This window comes from Homo sapiens, chromosome 16 (assembly GCF_000001405.40).
Source record: "Homo sapiens chromosome 16, GRCh38.p14 Primary Assembly".
In the NCBI taxonomy this organism is placed as follows: domain Eukaryota; kingdom Metazoa; phylum Chordata; class Mammalia; order Primates; family Hominidae; genus Homo; species Homo sapiens.
In genome coordinates, this window is record NC_000016.10 from 74,609,491 (window position 1) to 74,633,648 (window position 24,158).

Sequence of the window (24,158 nt, forward strand, 5' to 3'; positions counted from 1 at the left end):
ATTTTTGTATTTTTAGAGACGGGATTTCACCATGTTGGCCAGGAGAGTCTCAATCTCTTGACCTTATGATCCATCCTCCTCGGCCTCCCAAAGTGCTAGGATTACAGGCATGAGCCACTGTGCCCAGCCAAGAAACGGGGAGTTCTTTTTACCCTTTATTGTATCCTTTGTTTCCTGATCCTCACTTTCTTAATTTATTCATCAAGCAGGTATCTGTTGAACATTTTCTTTTTTTTTTTTTTTGAGACGGAGTCTTGCTCTGCCACCCAGGCTGGAGTGCAGTGTTGTGATCTCAGCTCACTGCAACCTCCGCCTCCTGGGTCCAAGCGATTCTCCTGCTGTAGCCTCCCAAGTAGCTGGTATTACAGGCGTGCACCACCACAACCGGCTAGTTTTTGTACTTTTAGTAGAGACGGGGTTTCACCATGTTGGCCATGCTGATCTTGAATTCCTGACCTCAAGGGATCCACCTACCTTGGCCTCCCAAAGTGTTGGGATTACAGGGATAAGCCACCGGGCCCAGCCATGAGCATTTTCCTTGTTTGTTTTCAGACGGGGTCTCCCTCTGTCACCCAGGCTAGAGTGCAGTGGCATGATAATTGTGGCTCACTGCAGCCCCAACCTCCTGGGCTCAAGCAGTCTTCCCGCCTCAGCCTCCTAAGTAGCTGGGACTACCGGTGTGTGCCACCACGCCCAGCTAATTATTTTTTTTTTGTAATTTTAGTATTTTTTTTTGTTTTTGAGACAGGGTCTTGTTCTGTCACCCAGACTACAATATAATGGCATGATCATGTTCACTGCATCCTCAGCCTCCCAAGCTCAAGTGATCCTTCCACCTCAGCTTCCCAAAGTGCTGGGATTACAGGTGTCAGCCCTGCACCTGGGCTGTTGAGAATTTGTTCTTTTATTATTATTATTATTATTATTATTATTATTATTATTATTATTATTTGAGATGGAGTGTTTCACTCTTGTTGCCCAGGCTGCTGTGCAATGGCATGATCTCAGCTCTGCAACCTCTGCCTCCCGGGTTCAAGTGATTCTCCTGCCTCAGCCTCCCCAAGTAACTAGGATTACAGGCGCCTGCCACCACGCCCAGCTAGTTTTTGTATTTTTAGTAGAGAGAGATTTCACCATGTTGACCAGGCTAGTCTCGAACTCCTGACTTCAGGTGATTGCCTGCCTCGGCCTCCCAAGTGCAACCATGAAAAGAGGACTCTAAGTGTTCCAAAATCAGACATTAATAACTAGTTCAAGATTCTAAGGAGGTGGGAATAAGCATTCAAAATGAAGGCCTGCTAGGCATGGTGGCTCACACCTACCTGTAATCCCAGCACTTTGGGAGGCCGAGGCGGGTGGATCACCTGAGGTCAGGCCTTTACTAAAAATACAAAAATTGGCTGGGCATAATGGTGCAACCTATAGTCCCAGTTACTCAGGAGGCTTACGCGGGAAGATCACTTGAAAGCGGCAAGTGGAGGTTGCAGTGAGCTGAGATTATGCCACTGCACTCCAGCCTGGGTGACAGAGTGAGATCCTGTCTCAGAAAAATAAAAAAATTAAAAAATTTAAAAAAAAAGGGGGTCAGGCGCAGTGGCTCATGGATGTAATCCCAGCTACTCGGAGGCTGAGGCAGGAGAACTTCTTGAACCCAGGAGGTGGAGGTTGCAGCTCCGAGCAGAGATCACGCCGCTGCACTCCAGCCTGGGCAACAGAGCGAGACTCGGTCTAAAAAAAAAAAAAAAAACAGTGCCTATCAAAGACTCAGTGTTGCAGGGTGGGCGCAGTGGCTCACGCCTGTAATCCCAGCCCTTTGGGAGGCCAAGGCGGGCAGATGACAAGGTCAAGAGATCGAGACCATCCTGGCCAACACGGTGAAACCCCGTCTCTACTAAAAATACAAAAATTAGCTGGGCGTGGTGGCGTGCGCCTGTAATCCCAGCTACTCAGGAGGCTGAGGCAGGAGAATCGCTTGAACCCAGGAGGCAGAGGTTGCAGTGAGCCGAGATTGCGCCAGGGCACTCCAGTCTGGCGACAGAGCAAGACTCTGTCTCCAAAAAAAAAAGACTCAGTGTTGCTCTCTGTTGCTGACAAGTTGGACATTCAGGGGCAGCAGTAGCTGGATGTACCTTGGTGAGTGGGAGTCCATGCTACTGAGCTCACATGGAACCTGCATGTCTGCTGCTATGGCTGCTCTGTTCACGTGCCCAGAATGTCGGGTCAGGAGGAGCTAGAGGCTAGCTCATGTGAATTGGCTGTGTCATTTTGCTTACTTGGTTGCTCAGTGCCTCTTCTATGGTGGAGGCTTTCTGGAGGGCATTATTAAGAGATACAAAAATCTTTATATATTGTACTCACCCCCACACGTTCATCCACATGCCTCTACTCCAGGCCAGGCCATTGGACTTTGTCCAGGAATCTGTATATATTCTCATCTTACATACAAAGTGGAATGACTAAGAGCACAGCCAGCATTTCCACTAGTTTGGAAAAGTTTTCACTCTCCACCATCTTTCAGAACCACATTTGCATTCTTTAGGTCTGTAATGGTGGCTCTAATCTTCACCAATCCCCATCCTCCCAATGGAACATTTTTTTTTTGTGATTAGTTATCATGAGCTTATTATAAAAGAGAGATATGGAGGCCAGGTGCGGTGGCTTACGCCTGTAATCCCAGCACTTTGGGAGGCCGAGGTGGGTGGATCACGAGGTCAGCAGATCGAGGCCATCCTGGCTAACATGGTGAAACCCTGTCTCTACTAAAAATACAAAAAATTAGCTGGGCGTGGTGGCAGGCACCTGTGGTCCCAGCTACTTGGGAGGCTGAGGCAGAACGGAGAACGGCGTGAACCCGGGAGGTGGAGACTGCAGTGAGCCGAGATTGCGCCACTGCACTCCAGCCTGGGCGACAGAGCGAGACTCTGTCACAAAAAAAAAAAAAGAAAAAGAAAAAAGAGAGAGAGATGGAAATTATTTACATGATGAAAGATTTCAGCTGGGTGCGGTGACTCACGCCTGCAATCCCAGCACTTTGAGAAAGATTTCAGAACTTCAGTGGAATGGGCAGCTTCATGTTGCTGCCATTTTCAATAGTGTCTTATTTCAGTCTACATACTTTCCAAGAATGTCACCATCTCTAAATAGGAAATAATCCTTGTCATCTAGAATTACTTTGGTGCCTCCATGTTCTGGGAGAAGAACTTTATCTCCAACTTTCATGCTAACTGGTTGAATCTCTCCACCTTTTCCTTTAGAACCCGATCCAACAGCGACTACTATTGCTTGCAATACTTTTCCTTGAGATTTTTCTGGAAGCATAATGCCTCCTCTGGTTACAGTTTCAGCAGCGCTCCTTTCAACCAGTACTCGCTCAAAGAGTGGAAGAAACTTTCTTTTTATTTATTTATTTTTTTTGAGACAGAGTCTCGCTCTGTCGCCCAGGCTGGAGTGCAGTCCTGCGATCTCGGCTCACTGCAAGCTCCACCTCCCGGGTTCACGCCATCCTCCTGCCTCAGCCTCCCGAGTAGCTGGGACTACAGGCACACGCTGCCACGCCTGGCTAATTTTTTGTATTTTTAGTAGAGACAGGGTTTCACCGTGTTAGCCAGGATGGTCTCGATATCCTGACCTTGTGATCCGCCCGCCTCTGCCTCCCAAAGTGCTGGGATTACAGGCGTGAGCCACAGCACCTGGCCGAGTGGAAGAAACTTTCTAAACGCCTGTCCTGCCATGACTCCCTCCACCTCAGACTTGTACTCTCGGAACACTGTTTTTGTTTTTTTTGTTTTTTTTTTTTGAGATGAAGTCTCGCTCTTGTTCCCCAGGCTGGAGTGCGATGGCGCGATCTCGGCTCACTGCAACCTCTGCCACCCGGGTTCAAGCGATTCTCCTGCCTCAGCCTCCTGAGTAGCTGGGATTACAGGAGCCTGCCACCACGCCCAGCTAATTTTTGTATTTTTAGTAGAGACGGGGGTTTCACCATGTTGGCCAGGCTGGTCTTGGACTTCTGACGTCAGGTGATCTGCCCACTTTGGCCTCCCAAAGTGCTGGGATTACAGCCACTGAGCCTGGCCTTGGAACATTGTTTTTAACGTACAATCTTAGCCACGGGTAGGGAGCAATTTCACAGATTTACATCTGGCCTTTCCTGCCCATGATAGTCCCTGCCCCACAGGCCAGAAATACAATGTGGGGTTATTCCAGGTCATTTCCAGTTATACATTTGGGGACTATGTAAATCTCTGGGTGGGTCCACACATCCAGTGAGCTGAGAGCCATACCTTACCACTTTAGGCAGGAGTCCATTTATTACCTGGCCCCTACAGGCCAGGGGGCTATAATGATGTTTTTGGCCTCTAATGATTGATTTCACCTTGAAGTCTGTGTCCGATAGTCTTGAAAATGTTCGGTTACTTCCCTTTTGCCAATGTACAGTCACCCAAGTAAGTAGCCACAAGTTCCTCTGGGGAAGGCCTGAGGGCCCTTGTGCCATGGTACGGCTGCCATGGTGTTGTAGGGTCTTTGGTGTTAGGCTCCTGGCCACCACTTTCATCAATGGATTCTGGATCTGAAAATTGGCTCAGATTGGGCAGGGAGCAGTGGCTCACACCTGTAATCCCAGCACTTTGGGAGGCTGAGGTGGGCGGATCATGAGGTCAAGAGATTAAGACCATCCTGGCCAACATGGTGAAGCCCCGTCTCTACTAAAAATACGAAAATTAGCTGGGTGTGGTGGCACATGCCTGTAGTACTAGCTACTCAGGAGGGTGACGCAGGAGAATTGCTTGAACTTGGGAAGTGGAGGTTGCAGTGAGCCAAGATCACACCTCTGCACTCTAGCCTGGGTGACCGAGTGAGACTCCATCTCAAAAAAAAAAGCCTCAGCTCTAGAAGCTGGGCAAAGGAGCATGACTTATTGGGGGTGACCACCCTTAGCCTCCTGTTCCTCCATTCTTGTGGACCTTATTGGCTATAGATGTTGAATAGTTCCCTTGCTGGTCTTGGGTGATGTTATCCTTTATTAACCATCTCTATACTCCCCGCTGGTCAAGACCCCTTGGTCGCTATTTTCTTATTATTTTTTGAGATGGAGTCTTGCTCTGTCACCCAGGCTGGAGTGCAGTGGCACAATCTCGGCTCACTGCAACCTCTGCCTCCCGGGTTCAAGAGATTCTCCGGCCTCAGCCTCTCGAATAGCTGGGACTACAGGCGTGTGCCACCACGCCCAGCTAATTTTTGTGTTTTTAGTAGAGACAGGGTTTTACCATGTTGGCCAGGCTGGTCTTGAACTCCTGACCTCAAGTGATCCTCCTGCCTCGGCCTCCCAAAGTGCTAGAATTATAGGTATGAGCCACCGCATCTGGCCCTTGGTCATCACCTTTGATCTTGCTGGTAATGGTGGTAATTGTGGTCTCCTGGCTTCTGGCACTTAAACATTGCCACCGGGTCTTTATTATTCTGGGGCCCTAGTCAGCCCCGTCTTACCACCTGTTTTCTTGGAACACTCCTGGCACTACTTGTGTGAGTCCAGGTCTGCCAGGAAGCAGACAACAAAAGGGGATTACCTATGCAAGAAATTTATTAGGGGCAACAGTTGTAGGAAAAATGAGGTGGCTGAGAGAGCCATGTGACCATGATGCTGGTCCAACACTGTGTGAAGTACAGAGGGAGGGAAGGAAGGACGGGAGGATTCGGTGGAAACATCTAAGACTCAACTTAAACTGAAATTCATTTCTAAGAAAGTCAGCCAAGGTCCGGCACGGTGGCTGACGCCTGTAATCCCAGCACTTTGGGAGGCCAAGGCAGGCAGATCACCTGAGGTCGAGAGTTCGAGACCAGCCTGACCAACATGGAGAAACCCCGTCTCTACTAAAAACACACAAAAAATTATCCGGGCATGGTGGTGCATACCTGTATTCCCAGCTACTCGGGAGGCTGAGGCAGGAGAATCACTTGAACCCAGAAGGCGGAGGTTGCAGTGAGCCAAGATCTCCAGCCTGGGCAATAAGACCAAAACTCCGTCTCCAAAAAAAAAAAAAAAAAAAGAAAGTTGGCCAAGGCCATAGGATAGTCCTCATGCAAAAGTTACCTGTCACTGAGTCTTCCAGAAATGGGCCTGCGTCAGTAGCCCTATCACTCTTAGTCAAGACTAGGAGGATCCTTGGGATGAATGCAGTTGTAGATTTCAGTGCTCAGCAGATCAAACAGAGGTCAATCATGTTCCCCACAGCTGGAGATCTGAGAGGCTCATTTTCAAGGTCACCACATCTGAGTAACTTCTTTAACTAGAGAATCTCTTTCATATAAAAGGCATAGCATGGCTGGGCGTGGTGGCTCACGCCTGTAATCCCAGCACTTTGGGAGGCCAAGGCGAGCAGATCACCTGAGGTCAGGAGGTGAAGACTGGCCTGGCTGACATGGTAAAGCCCAGTCTCTACTAAAAATACAAAAATTAGCCGGGTGCAGTGGCTCATGCCTGTAATTCCAGCACTTTGGGAGGCTAAGCGGGGCAGATCATGAGGTCAGGAAATCGAGACCATCCTGGCTAACATGGTGAAACCCTGTCTCTACTAAAAATACAAAAATTAGCTGGGCGTGGTGGCAGGCGCCTGTAATCCCAGCTAATTGGGAGGCTGAGGTACAAGAATCGCTTGAACCCAGGAGTCGGAGGTTGCAGTGAGCCAAGATCGCGCCACTGCACTCCAGCCTGGCAGGAGTGAGACTCCATCTAAAAAAAAAAACAAAAAAAATTAGCCAGGTGCGATGGCATGCGCCTGTAATCCCAGCTACTCGGGAGGCTGAGGCAGAAGAATCACTTGAACCTGGGAGGCAGAGGTTGCAGTGAGCCAAGATCATGCCACTGCACTCCAGCCTGGGTGACAAAGTGAGACTCAGTCTCAGGGAAGAAAAAGAAATTGTTTAGACTACTAAGCTAGGACATTGGTGACTTCATATTGACAAGACTTAAGGGATTAAAAATGAAATAACAGGCCAGGCGTGGTGGCTCATGCCTGTAATTCCAGCACTTTGGGAGGCTGAGGCAGTGGATCACTTGAGGCCAGGAATTTGAGACCACCCTGGCCAACATGGCGAAACCCCGTCCCTACTAAAAATATAAAAAAATTAGCTGGGCATGGTGGTGTATACCTGTAGTCACAGCTACTTGGGAGGCTGAAGTGGGAGGATCACTTGAGCCTGGGAGGCAGAGGTTACAGCAAGCCGAGATTACACCACTGCACTCCAGCCTGGGTGACAGAGTGAGACCCCATTTCAATTAAAAAAAAAAAAAAAGAGTAACAAGTAACATATTTCTAGACACCCCCACATTATCCAGCTAAGAGACCTGAACTTGTCTGTCACAGCAACCTCAGTGACTGTCTAGACGAGAATCTAAGACTCCTGGAGAAGAAAAACTCACCCAGCATTCTGATCTGTAGACAGTAGAGACCGGACTGTAGTTTGAATATTACTTCCTTTATGGCAATTTGCCAGTTTGCAGGAATATCATGTCTTTTGGAGAGGGTCTCAATCAGAGAAACAAATGTTAGCATTTGATATTTCGTTTACTTCCTTGACTCAAGGGCAAGTGACTCCTGTGAGCTGAGGGGGTAGCATACTGTTTGCCTAGTGAAATACCATCTCTCTATCTCAAGTCAGGACATCATCTTCAAGAGAGGAACTGGGGTCATCGCTAACTCTGGAGCTTCCACTGGGGTACAAGTGAGGTGTCAGAACTTCACTGAGCTTAGATTCCGTGGCAATTTCCCATCTTCCCCCCTACCCTGTCACCCTTTCTCATGTTAGGCCCTCATTGTTTCCCATATGTTCCTGCACAATCTAACCAGCAATTTTTTGTACCAGGCTTATGAGAAAGGAGGAAGCCACATCATCACTCAACACCCCCTCCATAGCTCAAGCCTGGGAATTCCCCTGGACCCTCCTGGAGGCACTCTTTTTAACTCTGGTGACATTTCTCTTAAATGGGAGGGTCTACAGGCATTGGAGTTTGAAGGCAGAGCATAACCATTTATCCAGGGCAGGCATCCCCTTCTTTATTCCAGGAAATAAGTGGCCTGCCAACTTCCCACTTACAACTTTCATTAACCAGCAGCTTATCCAACTGTTGGCAGCTCACACAGAGCTGGCTTAGGTAACAAAAGTGCCAGTTTTTTGTTTTTGTTTTCTTTTTTTGAGACAGTCTTGCTCTGTTGCCCAGGCTGGAGGGCAGTGGTACAGTCTAGGGTCACTGCAACCTCTGCCTCCCAGGTTCAAGCAATTCTCCTGCCTCAGCCTCCCAAGTAGCTGGGATTACAGGTGCCTGCCACCACGCCTGGCTAATTTTTTGTATTTTTAGTAGAGACGAGGTTTCACCATGTTGGCCGCGCTGGTTTTGAACTCCTGACCTCGTGATCCACCTGCCTTGACCTCCCAAAGTGCTGGGATTACAGACGTGAGCCATCGTGCCCGGCCATTTTTTTTTTTTTTTTAACCCAAGCATCTGTTCAGTGATGTCCTGAACTTTGTTTCCCCCTCAGCCTTCAACTCTCCCTTTATCCAAATCCAGATATTTAAGTTGGTACCTATGTTCAGCCTCTAAGGAAGCCTTTCTGCTGGGTGTCTGTAACTGGATAAACCTGTTATTACTCCTCAGGGACCAGCGTGGGTTCATGGCACTCCTCACATCTCGACAGTAGACTCCTTATTCAGCTGGCCCTGCACCCTGCTTTCTAGAGCAAGCCCAACAGCTCCTCCACCTTCCTCCTCTCTTCAGCTGACCTTTCCGATGACCACTGCTGGGCAGTTCTAGCCCATGTGTCATAGCCTCTTCTATGAACCCGTTTTTTCTTCTATTGGACAGTGGGGTTCCCAGCCTCAGCACCCAGAAAACTACTTGAAGACTGTAGTGCCACATCATGAGTATGACTGTCTGCTTTGTTGTAATTTTCAATGCAGAAGAAATAATTTGTGGGGGCTTAGCCTAGGGTGTTCTGGAGACAGAGCTATGAAGAGTGAAAATGAGCTTTCACCCAGGCTCTCCAACTCCTGCTTTGCTGTTGGTAACACAAAGTATAGACTGGGAAGACGAGGACATATAAAATTTAATTAAATACCATCTGTCATTTTCCTTTATTAGGATTTTTTCTTTTTTTTTTTTTTGAGGTGAAGTCTTGCTCCCGTTGCGCAGGCTGGAGTGCAGTGGCGCGATCTTGGCTCACTGCAACCTCCACCTCCCAGGTTCAAGAAGAAGCTGGGGCTGGGTGTGGTGGCTCACGCCTGTAATCCCAGCACCTTGGGAGGCCAAGGCGGGCAGATCACGAGGTCAGGAGATCGAGACCATCCTGGCTAACACGGTGAAACCCCATCTCTACTAAAAATACAAAAAAATTAGCCGAGTGTGGTGGCAGGCGCCTGTAGTCCCAGTTACTCAAGAGGCTGAGGCAGGAGAATGGCGTGAAGCCGGGAGGCAGAGCTTGCAGTGAGCTGAGATCGTGCCACTGCACTCGAGCCTGGGAGACAGAGCAAGACTCCGTCTAAAAAAAAAAAAAAAGAAGCTGGGATTACAGGTTTACGCCACCATGCCTGGATCATTTTTGTATTTTTAGTAGAGACAGGGTTTCACCATGTTAGCCATGCTGGTCTCGAACTCCTGACCTCAGGTGATCCATCCTCTTTGGCCTCCCAAAGTGCTGGGATTACAGGCATGAGCCACTGCACCCAAGCTTTATTAGTATTTTTAACCTGTTTCTTCCCCCGTAAGATAGAATAATAATATGTATTCCATAACATTAAGAATTACTTATTAGTAATATATATTTACTAAGATGTTACTTAATATATTAGTAAACCATAAAGAGATAAAACAGAGAGTGTTACCAACAAACATAAGTTGACTAAGAACAAGGACAAACAAATGTCTATTTTTAGAATTTTGGCCAGACATGGTGGCTCATGCCTGCAATCCCAATGCTTTGGGAGGCTGAGGCGGGAGGACTGCTTGAACTAGAAGTTTGAATCCAGTTGGGCAACAAAGCAAGACCCCCGTCTCTACCAAGAAAAAAAAAGCAAAAAAAAAAAAAAATTGGCTGGGCACAGTGGTCCACAACTACAGTCCCAGTTACTTAGGAGGTTGAGGAGACAGGATTACCTGAGCCCAGAAGTTTGAGGATGCAGTCGAGATAGGATAGTGCCACTGCACTCTAGCCTGGGTGACAGTGAGACCCCGTTTCTTAAAAAAATTTTTTTTCAGAATTTCACTTATAGTCAATCACTGACACGGAAAACAAAAAAAGGGTACTGTGAAAAACAAAAACAATGGTGTTGGGTTTTGTAATTTGGGGTTCACTTCTATCCTAGGACCTCTGTCATTTTCCCTTAGAGCACCAGGCTCCATGAAGTTAGTAAGCTTATACCTATGGATTCAGTTCTCCTGGAATCCAGTATACTCCATTTGCTGTTCAGCTGGAAACTGGAAAACATTTTCAGCCTTTCCAGCCTAATTCCAGAGCACCATGATTTATGGCAACGAAGATTCTTGAACTCAAACAGAACAAAGAAACTGAGGCAGGTGGCCAGAACTGTACTGAGCAGGAACCCTGAAACCCATACTTGCCCATTGCTGCTGCCACGGTCAGAAGTGCCACCAATGACTAAAAGAAATAAAGGGAACAAAAGTCCTCTCCTCCTCTCTCTTCCTCCCACTTTAAAGTCTCCTGGATTCAAAGAAACTAGCAGGAAGCCAGCAGACAAGTCTGGGAAATGTAGATCCCTAGATCTGAGAGTAAATAGACATAAGACCAGGACATTTTTTTTTTTTTTTTTTGAGACGGAGTCTCACTCTGTCACCCAGGCTGGAGTACAGTGGTGCAATCTCAGCTAACTGCAACCTCTGCCTCGCGGGTTCAAGCAATTCCCCTGCCTCAGCCCCCTGAGTAACAGGTGTCCGCCACTACGACCAGCTAATTTTTATATCATTTAGTAGAGATGAGGTTTCACCTTGTTGGCCAGACTGACCTTGAACTTCTGACCTCAGGTGATCTGCCCACCTTGGCCTCCCAAAGTGCTGGGATTACAGGCGTGAGCCACACGGCCAGGGCACAGGGTTCTTAAGAGGCAAACACATCGCTTTCCACTGGCAACAGCAAAACAGAACCGCAAGCTAAAGCCTCAACCACTTCATTTGTGTGAAAAAGAGAAAATCTATGGCTGGGTGAGGTGGCTCATGCCTGTAATCCCAGCACTTTGGGAGGCTGTCAAGATGGACAAATCACTTGAGGTCAGGAGTTGGAGACCAGCCTGGCCAACATGGTAAAACCCCGTCTCTACTAAAAATAGACAAATAAGCCAGGCATGGTTGCAGGCGCCTGTAACTCCCAGGTACTGGAGAGGAATGAGGCAGGGGAATCGCTTGAACCCGGGAGGCAGAGGTTGCAGTGAGCTGAGATTGAACCAGTGCACTCCAGCCTGGGACAACAGAGTGAGATTCAGTTAAAAAAAAAAAAAAAAAAAAAGGCCGGGTGCGGTAGCTCACGCCTGTAATCCCAGCACTTTGGGAGGCTGAAGCAGGCAGATCACAAGGTCAGAAGTTTGAGACCAGCCTGACCAACATGCTGAAACCCGTCTCTACTAAAAATACAAAAATTAGCCGAGCATGATGGCGCACACCTGTAATCTCAGCTACTCAGGAGGCTGAGACAGGAGAATCTCTTGAACCTAGGAGGCGGAGTTTGCAGTGAGCCAAGATGGCGCCACTGCACTCCAGCTAGGGCTACAGAGCAAGATTCCGTCTCAAAAAACAAACAAACGAACAAACCCGAGAAATCTACCAGGTTGGGATTATATCCCTCTCCCAAGAGGCAGACATGTTCCTGCCTCTAGAAGTGAAAGAGACAAAAGGCACTAGGAGCCATTATACATAGCAAATTCTTTATTTTCATATTAACAGTAAAACATAAAACAGAAACATTAAAACAGGGCATAAACAGAGTTCCCATGGCCCTGTTTTCAAAGCAGGGGCAAGAATACATACAATGACAAGACATTTTGAGTTCGTTTAACTCCAAATCCTCAAGTGGGGAAAAAAACTTAGAGGTAGTGACAAAGGAATATGGTGGGGCAGAGACTGGTGGAGCCCAGAAGACTAAAGCCTGGATTTATAAATGTGATGTCCTACAACGGGGACTGGGAATGGCATCAGGGTTTTTTTTTGTTTGTTTGTTTTTTTTGAGATGGAGTCTTGCTCTGTCACCGAGGCTGGAGTGCAGTGGCGCGATCTCGACTCACTGCAACCTCTGCCTCCCAGGGTTCAAGCAATTCTCCTGCCTCAGCCTCCCAAGTAGCTGGGACTACAGGCATGCGCACCACTGCACCCAGTTAATTTTTGTATTTTTAGTAGAGATGGGGTTTCACCATGTTGGTCAGGCTGGACAAGGCTTTTTTTCTTTGGAGAAATCACTCACGATCGTATGAATTTGCTTCCAAAACATCCAAATTTAATGTACTAATGCAAGGACTGGTAAGACTTAAGATTCACATAACGTCCCTCATAGTTAAGTCTCTTGCTTCCTACTATTAGTGGAATCAATCAGCATCAGGTACTTCAAAGAAAGTCAAATCCTAAGCCTGCCCAGGCCCAAAGACAAAGCCAGCCAGGACCTGACCACCTGTATCCTCTTGGTGGCAATCTGCTGAAGCCAGATGAGTTCTGCTTTTTAATTCCAATCCTATTCTGCCACTGAAACTAGGCCTGGGCAACCACTCTTAATCATTAACATATCAAAAGGAGTATCTCCTCTGAGAAAAGAGCTTTTCTCAGGTTCTAGAAGCTAGCTTTTACAAAAGACGTCTTCAAATAGGGGCCGGGTGCAGTGGCTCACGCCTATAATTTTGGCACTTTAGGAGGCTGAGGTGGGAGGATTGCTTGAGGCCAGGAGTCCAAGACCAGCCTGGACAACGTAGTGAAACATCTATTTCTACAAAAAAATTTAAAAAAGGAAAAAATTATGTCCTAAAATATTAAAGGGTCATTAAAAGGCACAACTAGAACTTGGAACTCTGGGGAAATCTAGTGCAACAACCCCTTGCCGGAGAGAAAGATCCTAGAAACAGCTCTTGAATTGACAGGTCAGAAGTGTTTTATAATAAAAACGATAACAACTCTTCAATAATCATTTGAGAAAATCAGACTGTTAAGCCATTTTCTCCCATGAACAGGACACTGACCTGCCCACATCTTGAAGCATATTCTGTTGTGGAAGTGGGTTGGCAAAGTAGTCTGAGGCAAGGCAAAGAAATACAAACTGAGCCCTAGAAAAGGTTAGGGAGGCAAATCAAAGGAAACTGGAATCAAACATCAGCTTCACATGGGGAAGGCTTTAACTGGATAACTGGAATGTATAAAGAACACTTAAGAACAGCCCCTCAGTCTGAGGAATTGGCTTTATTTAGATAGGAACTCTCAAAATGGGAGACAAGTTCTTCTCATGTTTTCAATAGCAGTCTGAATAGCTTTTGTAAATTCTCTTATGTCTTTTCTCCTGATCTCTGACACTAGGGGAGACTCAAGTAAAAGCTTTGACCTATCACTCATCTTTTCCTGGCAAGAGATAGTGTTCTTCAAAGCACTAGCTTGGATAAAACCAATCCTGAGATCCTAAGCTGGCTAGAAAAAACAAAATCTTCCCCACCGCTCAAACAACTGGCCTCTTTCCTTACCTTTCGCAAAGCAATGAACTTAATGCACTAGGCATTAGCAAAGGGAATCGTTCACTAGCTGCTTCCATCACTGGGCCTGCCAATGTCCCAGCACTTCACACCTGGAACACAAGTGTTATTGCCACAAAGCACACCCAGGTGTGCTATCACACACTTGTGTGGAGATGAGACAAGTTACTAAAAGATTGTCAGCCTTCAAGGTCAGAAATAAACCGGACACAAGGTTCTACAGTGCCCTCTTGTGTTCAACTGAATAATACTCTTTTACATCTACGTTGCATCAAATCAGTACCAAGACGATGGTTAGTCCCTTCAAGGATACTTAAGTGACAGGACAACTCAGATGGGATGTCATATTCCCCAGAAAATGCTTGATGCCCACTCACATCCTAGATGATGAGAGGACACTCTCTAAGGTCCAGAAAGTCACACAGAAAATAAAGAAAATAAGAATTTCCAACATACAATAATGGTTAATGAAGGCTTTAAACCCAAGAAATGGATAATGTAGATAAAGTACCCATCAATTACTCTTTTAGTGGACATAACAGATACACAATCTGTAGTGTCTCAGTGACCTAGGGTCCTAGAATCATACTAATGCAAACAAACCATGATTCCCAATGTTCTAGACTGCAGACAATAAACAGGGATCTTGCTTGGGGCTGCTAGGCGCTAGCAAACAACATCTAACCAGCAGCATGCCTTCAAGGTTTCGAGACCACAGTCACTCCCACTTATAGATGTGGACCATCTTCTCTGTTAAGGTAGCCAAGTAGCTGTTACGGTTCACCTCAAATGGGCAGATGTCCAACACAGGCTGATCGGTCTGTAGGTCCTGGAGCAACGAGCCACTGGCAGCATCCCACAGCTAAAGAACACAAGCAGAGGGAAGGGTCAGGAGTCAGTCAGTACACGAAGGGACTTCCATTCTTCATCATCTAACAAGTCTGAAAGGCTGCAGAGAGAACACTACCTGGAGAGCAAAGCAGGCTGTCCCTAACCTTTGCAAGGTTGTTCAAAGTCAGCACACCTGACATAGTTCAGGTACAGCCTCACCTACTGTAATCAGCAATTAGTCTACCTGTAAGTGGACCTGAAATAAAGCCCAGCTTCCATTCATTCAATGTGCCAGCCTCTTCTAGGGACAGAAGGGTCAATAAGATAAAGTCCCTGTCTTTGCCCTCATGGAACTCACCCTTTTTTTTCTTTGAGACGGAGTCTCACTCTTGTCACCCAGGCTGCAGTGCAGTGGCACGATCTTGGCTTACTGCAACATCTGCCTCCTGGGTTCCAGCGATTCTCATGCCTCAGCCTCCCAAGTAGCTGGGATTACAGACATCCACCACCACGCCCGGCTAATTTTCTTGTATTTTTGGTAGAGATGGGTTTCACCATGTTGGCCAGGCTGGTCTAGAACTCCTGACCTCAGGTGATCCACCCACCTTGGCCTCCCAAAGTGCTGGGATTACAGGCGTGAGCCACCGCGTCTGGCCTCTAAAAATTTATTATTGGCCAGGCATGGTGTCTCACACCTGTAATTCCAACACTTTGGGAGTCTGAGATGGGAGGACAGCTTGAGGATAGGAGATTGAGACCAGCTGGGGCAATACAGCAAGAATCCAATCTCTACAAGAAAAAATTAGCCAGGTGTAGTGGTGCATGCCCGCAGTCCCAGCTACTCAAGAGGCTGAAGGAGGATTGCTTAAGCTGAGGAGTTTGAGGCTACAGTGAACCATGATTGCACTACTGCACTCCAGCCTGGACCGAGTAAGATACTGTCACTTAAAAACAAACAAACAAACAAACAAAAAGAAATGAAAAATATTTTGAAGTATTAAAAAGTAGAGCTAGCCGGGCATGGTGGCACACACCCATAGTTCCAGCTACTTGGGAGGCTGAAGCACAAGAATCACTTGAACCCAGGAGGTGGAGGTTGTAGTAAGCCAAGATTGCACCTCTGCACTCCAGCCTGGGCAACAGAGCAAGACCCTGTCTCAAAAAAAAAAAAAAGTAGAGAGGGACAGAAAAAAAAAGGTAGAGAGCACGGTGGCTCATGCTTGTAATCTTAGTAGTCTGTGAGGCTGAGGTGAGAAGACTGCTTGAGCCCAGGAGTTTGAGACCAGCCTGGGAAACATGGCAAAACCCTGTCTCTACTAAAAATACACAAATTAGCCGGGTATGGTTGGTGTGCACCCAGCTACTTGGGAAGCTGAGGCACAAGAATTGCTTGAACCTGGGAGGTGGAGGTGGCAGTGAGCCGAGATTGCGCCTCTGCACTCCAGCCTGGGTAACAGAGCGAGACCGTCTCAAGAAAAAAAAAAAAAGGACAGACCAGGCGCAATGGCTCACGCCTATAATCCAACCTTTTTTCTTCTGCCATTGACTTGTTGTGGAAGCCAGATCAGCTGTCTTATAGAACGCCCACAACCCGGACTTGTGTATATGCTTTCTGTGCTATCATTAAACTTGTTCTCCTCTATTCCCTGCAACTCCAGTCAATGAAAGTTAGCGCTAGCTTCTAGAGTGGCACTATACAATATGGTGGCCTCTAGTCACACAAGTTTATATTTAACTTGATTAAAATTAAACATTAAGTTCTTCCTTGGCACTAAGCACACTTTAAGTGCTCATGTGACTAGTGTGACTGTACTGGACAGTGCTACTCTAGGCCTTAATCAGACTCAGGTTCAAGAACATCTCAGCTGGGTGCAATGGCTCACGCCTCTAATCCCAGCACTTTGGGAGGCCAAGGCCGGCAGATCACTTGAGGTCAGGAGTTCCAGACCAGCCTGGCCAACACGGTGAAACCCTGTCTCTACTAAAAATACAAAAATCAGTCGGGCATGGTGGTGGGGTGCCTGTAATCCCAGCTACTCAGGAGGCTGAGGCAGGAGAATCACTTGAACCCAAGAAATAGAGGTTGCAGCAGTTCAGTCAAGATCTACAAAGCAATACGGAAAGCACGACTCATGGAAACCAAGCAATCTCACATACACACATATGCGGATATGTGGGATTACAGAGCAGAACTTACACTTTTTTGCTATATGAGCTTCTGTAAAAAAAGTTCATGTTTTCCCTTACCAATATTTTAAGCAAAACTACTTTTTATATGAAAGTAAAAAAGTAACAGGCTCACCAGGGCAGAATTTGCTGCTTCATCCCCAGTACACACCAGGATGTTGCCATCATTCTCTGGGCTTTGGAAAATGGCATTTTTGGTCAATAGTTTGCAAGTAGGTCCTCCAAAAAATGTATGTACAGGCTGGCAGGAGCAGATTGGATTTCCAGTGTCATCCAGTCGGTAGGACATTTCCATCAGCACACTTCGTATGGTGGTGTGATTTTTATCTATGGGACAGAGAAATCAGTGCTGCACCATGGGGACGCTACACAAAAAATTAACCAAGTACCCAAACCTCACACGCTTACAACCTAGTTGGATGGAAAAGCCATAAATGCATTAAACCATCAAGAACAGTTACAAAACAAATGAAAGAACAATATCACAGCATCAATGAAATTTAGAACCGTAGGCTAGCATCAGTGAAATTTAGAACCATAGGCTAGGAATCAAGTTATCTACAATAGCTTTTTGCTTAAGAGAAAAACAATTCTGTGAGTTGTCTGTTTTAGTAAAATCAGTCTCCTGCCAGACCTCTGCTAGGGGATTTCTCTCTCAAGAATTCTCAGTAAAAGGTTTTTCCCTTCCCCCAGTGAGAACCTCATTAGCCCCTGGGACTGCACATTTTTATAAAGTGAAAGCATGCTATTACAGAAAGGGAAACATGTATCTGAAATTCTGCTGGGAGGCAAACAAAAGCAAGATAACAAAATAGGACCCCCAGGCTTTGTACACCAGTCACAACAAATCACAGTCTTGGAGACAGCCGAGCTGTGGGATGATGAAGAGCCAAAGGGTCTGAAGTGGTACTGGGATGTTTCTCAGCTCAAACAAAACTTAAAAACATGAGTAGACCCACCCACAACTAGCAGAAGTGTGAGCATTTAATGACTAACTCTGACTATACATCTGCCTGACTGTTACAAATGTGTTTAATACAGTTGTTACCTCAGCATCTGTTTTTAGGGCTAGCATAAATTATTTGAAACCCAGATGTACCCTGTCAACTTTGGCCTAGTTAAAACATCCCTTCCCTGAGCAGAGGTTTGAAATATAGCCCACTTGTCCCTCCCCTCCACCCCTACCCCACCCCTAAGGGAGCAGGCCTGTCCTGGATGGCTCCCCCTTCTTCCCATTGGCCCCTGAAGCATGCTGCCCTCTTCTCTGTGGGATCTGTCAAGTAAGCTGATTCCGTTATTTCCTGTGTTTTGTGCACTGCCTCCTTTGTGTCTCACCTGACCAACACACCTGAACCTAACTTGTTTCCTAGTCAGGGCTCTTCTAGAGAGTCACTATCTCAAGGGAAATGAACTAGACACAGTTCAGACAAGAGCCACAAGGGTACCTGCCAGTACAAACAAGTTTCCTGTGAGAGGGACATCTGGTCATGGGTCAGGCAGGCATTAGGCCATCTGCCAGGACAGAGGAGTATCCTGTGAAAGGCAAACTATGAACACCCACAACGAACTCCCTAGTGTTTGGCAGGACAGGGCTAGAGTTTATAGCCACTCTCCTGACAGAGACCTCAAGACCAAATTAGAAAGAAAAAACCTAGAACACTGACCATCAGTACAGTTTACCAGGAATTTAGATTCATGCCGCTTAGCCTAGAAAGAACCTGTGAATGAAGCACAGTCTGCTGTTATGCGTTCCACCTCTGATTCCAGAGGCAGAGATGTTCAGCTGGCTGGGCACACACAGCCACTGTTGTCCATTTCAGTATGCCAGCCGGGCTACTACATGGCTGCCCTAATCTGGGCCTTTCTCTCAGGGGAAGTAAGAGGCAGGCAGAAGATACGAAAGTGATCTCAAGGTGGCTCAATGACCTAGAGCTGGCCCCCTTGTTCCACTACTGTTCTAAACTGTAGGGGCTCCTAAGTGGCTAATTCACTTCCAGGAGTACCTGGCAGAATATGCTCCAGTCCTCACACGTAAGGAGCAGGGAGGCAGGCTCTGTGGGGGAGCTTGGAGCCACCATACTCCCTGTAGTAGCAAGAGCTACAACACACCTCGTTAGCCTGTGAGCGGTACCACAGCCACCCAAAGGGTAGGATCAAACCCTCCTTCCCTTTTCTCTACCACTGTGCTCCCAAATAAGCTATGGGAGACCCCAGCACTACTTACCAGGCCTGTAGGTCACAAGACAGTGCCGGGAGCTGTTCTCTGTCTGAAAGTCTATGCAGCCCCCTGGCTCCAAGGGCAGCACATGAGGCCAATGAGAAAAGTCCATTTTCTGTTCCCAGAATGAAGCATCCTCCAAGGTTCCAGCCAGCACCCCACCATATGGAAATGCAGCTGAGGCAGCTCTGGGCATGTATGACAGGGAGACCAGTGGGCATCTGAAAGGAAAGTAAGGAAACTGTATCTCACACTCCAAAACTCGGACGGCTCCAGACCCCACTACCAGACCTCAAGCACATTCCCACCTCTGCAGAGGAGGTTAAACGCCTTTAGTCACTATCCTCTGATATCTGATAAAAATTATCAACCCTCTCTGTAGAAACAAAAGGACATACATATAATATTCTGCAACTAATTTCAGGTGAGATACCAGATGCTCTAAAAGAAAAGGAAAAAAAGAACTAGGAAATTTAAGGGATACAAGATCACAATTACTATGAAGCTTGACTGATGTGAAGCTTCTGGAAATGGGTTTAGCCACATAAGAAAAGTCAGAAAAGAAACAAAGCTTATATACATAACAAAATAAAGATCCCAAGTTGTAGTTGACAGACCCCACAATTAAAATACAGCTAAAAGCAGCTACATTTTAATTCAGAAACAGGACTGTTTTAGGTTTTCTAAATTTCCTTCTGCAAGCATATGACCAGGACTATGCGCCAAGAATTCTCTCAGAAATATCATCCTTCCGACTGTGTTCCTATCAACTCATTTCTGCTATGAAGTCGTTCGTGCCAAAGTTGCCAAAGTGTCTACTTTGCCTGTTTTATTTTCCCTGTCACAATAAAGGTAATCAAAGTAAACAAAAATAAAAATGAACATTACATACAAATATTCTTTCCTTGCTATTTTAAAACTTGCTGTGTTTGGCTGGGCATGGTGGCTCACGCCTGTAATCCCAGCACTTCGGGAAGCCGAGGTGGGAGAATCACTTGAGGTCACCGGTTTGAGACCAGCCTGGCCAATATGGTGAAACCCCATCTCTACTAAAAATACAAAAGTTAGTCAGGTGTGGTGGCACACGCGTATAGTCCCAGCTACTCGGGAGGTGGAGGATGCAGTGATCCAAGACTGTGCCACTGCACTCCAGCCTGGGTGACAGAGTGAGACACCATCTTAAAAAAACAAAACAAAACAAAAAAACCACTACCACCAACAAAAAAAAAAAACCTTGCCATATTTTACTGTCTACTCTATTTGGGCCTAGGTTTCAGTAAAGAATTATTACTTTAGTGGTATCTTTATGTTTGGCTCTCCTTGCTCTTTTTAATATATCCAGTTGGAAACATAAATTATCTGTTAAGATACTTCAGATTTTGGCCAGGTCACAGACCCTACTCCCTTTTTGATAACTTTATACCTACAGGGCAGCTCAACACATTCTAAGACAGAGTGGTGCTGGTGGCCATCCATCCTCAGAACTTGGGCTCACTTTATAAACTTCTCAATCTCATAACTGGATTAAATGATAAATAATAATAATATGGTATCTTCAAACAAGTTGGTTTAGCTTTGGATTAGGGAAGTTTTAAATCACTTTTGATTAGGTTACCCTTAACTGATCTCTTCCTATGTGCTAGACATGTGGCTATTTTTTTTTTTCTTGAGATGGCGTCTCACTCTGTTGCCCAGACTGGAGTGCAACGGCGCAATCTCGGCTCACCGCAACCTCCGCCTCCGAGGCTCAATAGATTCTTCTGCCTCGGCCTTCTGAGTAGCTGGGATTACAGGCGTGTGCCACCACGCATGGCTAACATTTTTTTGTATTTTCAGTAGAGACGGGGTTTTACCACGTTGGTCAGGCTGGTCTCGAATTCCTGACCTCCTGATCTGTCCGCCTCGTCTTCCCAAAGTGCTGGGATTACAGGCGTAAGCCACCGCACCCAGCGACATGTGGCTATTAAAGCAAGTCTACATTGACCAGATTTTACAGATTAAGCTCACAGTGGGCCAAGAAAATACAACTAAGGTCACACAACTTCTAAGTAGTGGAGCTGGGTTCTGAATATAGATCTGACTCTATTTTGCCATGTTAGATGATTACTATGAACCTGGCTATACTTGTACCAGAACTCTCCATCATATGAAATAGCATGAATACAAACTCTTATTAATAAGAATGTTATTGATTCTGAAGTGAGATCAAGTGGATCTTCAAAAAATTTGTGAGGATTTCTGACTAACTGTGGAACACCCACTGAAGAGACGATTAACACAATAATAAGCCAAGAGAAAGCTGCTACCACCAGGAAAAGAGTGAGTGGCTCCCTACCTGGCTTTCTGAGCTACTAACTCCTGCACATGACTGCTCGTGTTTCGCACGTCATATACCAGAATTGAACCATTGGCCAGTCCAGCATAGATGTAGTTAGCCTCATCAAGACACCAGCAACAGCTCCAGACAGGACGTCCAGCATTATAAGTCTGGACCACGGTATTTGTCTCCAGGCTGTGGAGTTACAAAAGACTTTTACAACTGCATTAAGAAAATCAAATACATGACAAAGATGTAAAGATTATCATTTAAATGATCATTAATCCTTACTGAGAACACACTCATACTCCCAAACTATCTGGATTCCCTATTTTTTCTAGAATCTGCCCAGGTAACTCCTTTAAATTCCATAACATTTGTTTTGGGGGCCACAGGTTTTCCTCTTGAGTTCTAAGGAAATAAAATAATAAATTAAAAGGGCTGGACATGGTGGCTCATGCCTGTAATCCCAGCACTTTGGGATTCTGAGGCAGACAGATCACTTGAGGTCAGGAGTTTGAGACCAGCCTGGCCAACATGGCGAAACTAAAATACAAAAATTAGCCAGGTGTGGTGGCATGCACCTGTAATCCCAGCTACTCGGGAGGCTGAGGCAGGAGAATCACTTGAACCCTGGGATGCGGAAGTTGCAGTGAGCTAAGATCATGCCACTGTACTCCAGCCTGGGTGACAGAGTGAGACTCTCTCTCTCTCTCAAAAATAAATAAATAATAACCCAACCAACACTCTGGTATGTAACATTTTTCTACCTTATTTTTAAAACAATACTTATAAAGGCACGGAGCACACTCACATCTGGTTCACAGTACTCACAGAGCATGTGACAGATAAAACGCTGTGACTAAGGGTATAAAAGAAGTCATCATGGTACTCAAGGGCAGTGAGTGCTTGGTGAACATCTCTGTTACACAGAATTATCCAGGTAACAGACCAGGACCAGGAGTAAACAGTACCAACCTGGTATGGCGACTCTGATGTCAGGCACCAAAGCTTCCTCCATCCTGTCATTCCACAAACTTTAAAGACGGGGTTTCACCATGTTGGCCAGGCTGGTCTCAAACCCCTGACCTCAGCTGATTGCCTGCCTCGGCCTCACAAAGCGCTAGGATTACAGGCGTGAGCCACCACGCCTGGTCTCCACCAACTTTAGAGTTTTATTCTCATCTCCTTAAAATATACTTAAGACATATTTTGTAATATACATAGTTTCAAAGAAACAGGAAACATACAGTTTTGTAACCTTCTGTGCCCACTTCTAAAAGCAATATATTTTAAATGGATCTCAGAAGACACAGTCTCAGACCAAAAAAAACAGAGCTAAGGTCGGCTGGGCGCAGTGGCTCACGCCTGTAATCCCAGCACTTCAGGAGGCCGAGGCGGGCGGATCATGAGGTCAGGAGATTGAGCCCATCCTGGCTAACACAGTGAAACCCCGTCTCTACTACAAAAATAGAAAATATTAGCCAGGCATGGTTGCAGGCGCCTGTAGTCCTAGCTACTCGGGAGGCTGAGGCAGGAGAATGGCCTGAACCCGGAAGGTGGAGCTTGCAGTGAGCCGAGATCCCACCAGTGCACTCCAGCCTGGGTGACAGAGCGAGACTCCATCTCAAAAAAACAAAACAAAACAAAACAACAACAACAACAAAAAACAGAGCTAAGGTCATCATAACACCGATACGAATTCCATGCTACTCAACACCAAAGAGCCCAGTCTCCACCTACTTCCCCAAATCACTCACCTGGTCAGTTTAATAGTGTTGTCTAGGGAAGCAGAGAGTAGCAAGCCTCTGAGGTAACTGCTAAACGCCAGTCCACGGATCTGTTTGCCATGCATCGGAATGTACTGACTGCTCTTCATGTTGGCAGTACTCAACATCTTAACACCAAAGCCTGAAAAAGGCAAAATAGTATGAAATAGATCACTGAAAGTGAACCTAGGGCAATTCAAACTAGTTTTTCAAGTAGCTCCTTCGTCCACCTTTCTTGGCGTATAAGTCCTTGGGAACCAGCTGGTCAAACAAAAATTCTCTAGTGTTACAATTTATTCATTTATTTTTGAGAGTTGGCCAGGCTGGAATGCAGTGGCGTAACCTCAGCTCACTACAACTTCTGCCTCCCGGTGATCTGCTCGCCTCAGCCTCCCAAAGTGCTGGGATTACAGGCATGAGCCACCACACCTGGCCTATGATTCATTTAAAAAAGTACAACCCAGGCCAGGCATGGTGTCTCACCTCTGTAATCCCAGCACTTTGGGAGGCCGAGACAGGTGGATTACCTGAGGTCAGGAGTTCAAGACAAGCCTGGCCAACACAGTGAAACCCTGTCTCTACTAAAACACAAAAAATTAGCCAGGCGTGGTGGCAAGTTCCTGTAATCCCAGCTATTCAGGAGGCTGAGGCAGGAGAATCGCTTGAACCCAGGAGGCGGAGGTTGTAGTGAGACAAGATTGCACCACTACACTCCAGCGTGGGCAACCAGAGCAAAACTCCGTCTCAGAAAAAAAAAAAAAAGAAAAGAAAAAAAAGTACAACCCATGCTTGCTTCATGACAATGAAGAGAAGAAGAAAAAAAAAAAGAAAAAGTATAACCTACTCCAAACATCCAGGTAAATGGATAAACAAACCTACTGTATAAACATGTGATGGAATACCACCCGTTAAAAAGGAATTAACTACTAATATATACAATAAAAAATTATGCAGCGAGAAAGAAGTCAGACCAAAAAATGGTAACACTATATAATTCCATTTATGTAAAATTCTAGAAAATGCAAACTCATCTGTAGTGACAAAAAGCAGTGACTGCTGGGGATGGGAGAGGAGGGAGGGGCAGGTGAGATTATCAAAGGCCATAGGGAAACTTTTG

General features: G+C 46.2%; 1 protein-coding gene and 1 pseudogene across 15 annotated transcripts in view, besides 1 other annotated feature; both read right to left on the minus strand.

Annotated features, from left to right (window-relative positions):
• On the minus strand, nucleotides 2,601-3,759 carry HSPE1P7 (heat shock protein family E (Hsp10) member 1 pseudogene 7; annotated as a pseudogene).
• Nucleotides 11,271-11,770: an enhancer, noted in NCBI's record as "H3K27ac hESC enhancer chr16:74654659-74655158 (GRCh37/hg19 assembly coordinates)". NCBI's record gives its function as "activates a minimal SCP1, AML or CMV promoter by ChIP-STARR-seq in primed H9 embryonic stem cells {active_cell/tissue: H9 hESC(primed)}" and the evidence as "EXISTENCE:reporter gene assay evidence [ECO:0000049][PMID:30033119]".
• The window catches only part of RFWD3 (ring finger and WD repeat domain 3), a 45,479-nt gene continuing 33,229 nt past the window's right edge, over nucleotides 11,909-24,158 (minus strand). For 12 of the 15 annotated variants that reach the window (NM_001370534.1, XM_011523191.4, NM_001370539.1 and 9 more), the window contains 5 exons: nucleotides 23,033-23,183; nucleotides 21,291-21,467; nucleotides 18,962-19,176; nucleotides 16,853-17,064; nucleotides 11,909-14,581 (listed from right to left, as the gene is read on the minus strand). In NM_001370534.1, coding sequence (NP_001357463.1) covers nucleotides 14,438-14,581; nucleotides 16,853-17,064; nucleotides 18,962-19,176; nucleotides 21,291-21,467; nucleotides 23,033-23,183 — 899 coding nt within the window. In that variant the 3' untranslated portion in view covers nucleotides 11,909-14,437. The remainder of the gene's footprint in view (nucleotides 14,582-16,852; nucleotides 17,065-18,961; nucleotides 19,177-21,290; nucleotides 21,468-23,032; nucleotides 23,184-24,158) is intronic. The other 3 variants (NM_001370536.1, XM_047434323.1, XM_006721228.4) reach the window with 1 other exon arrangement.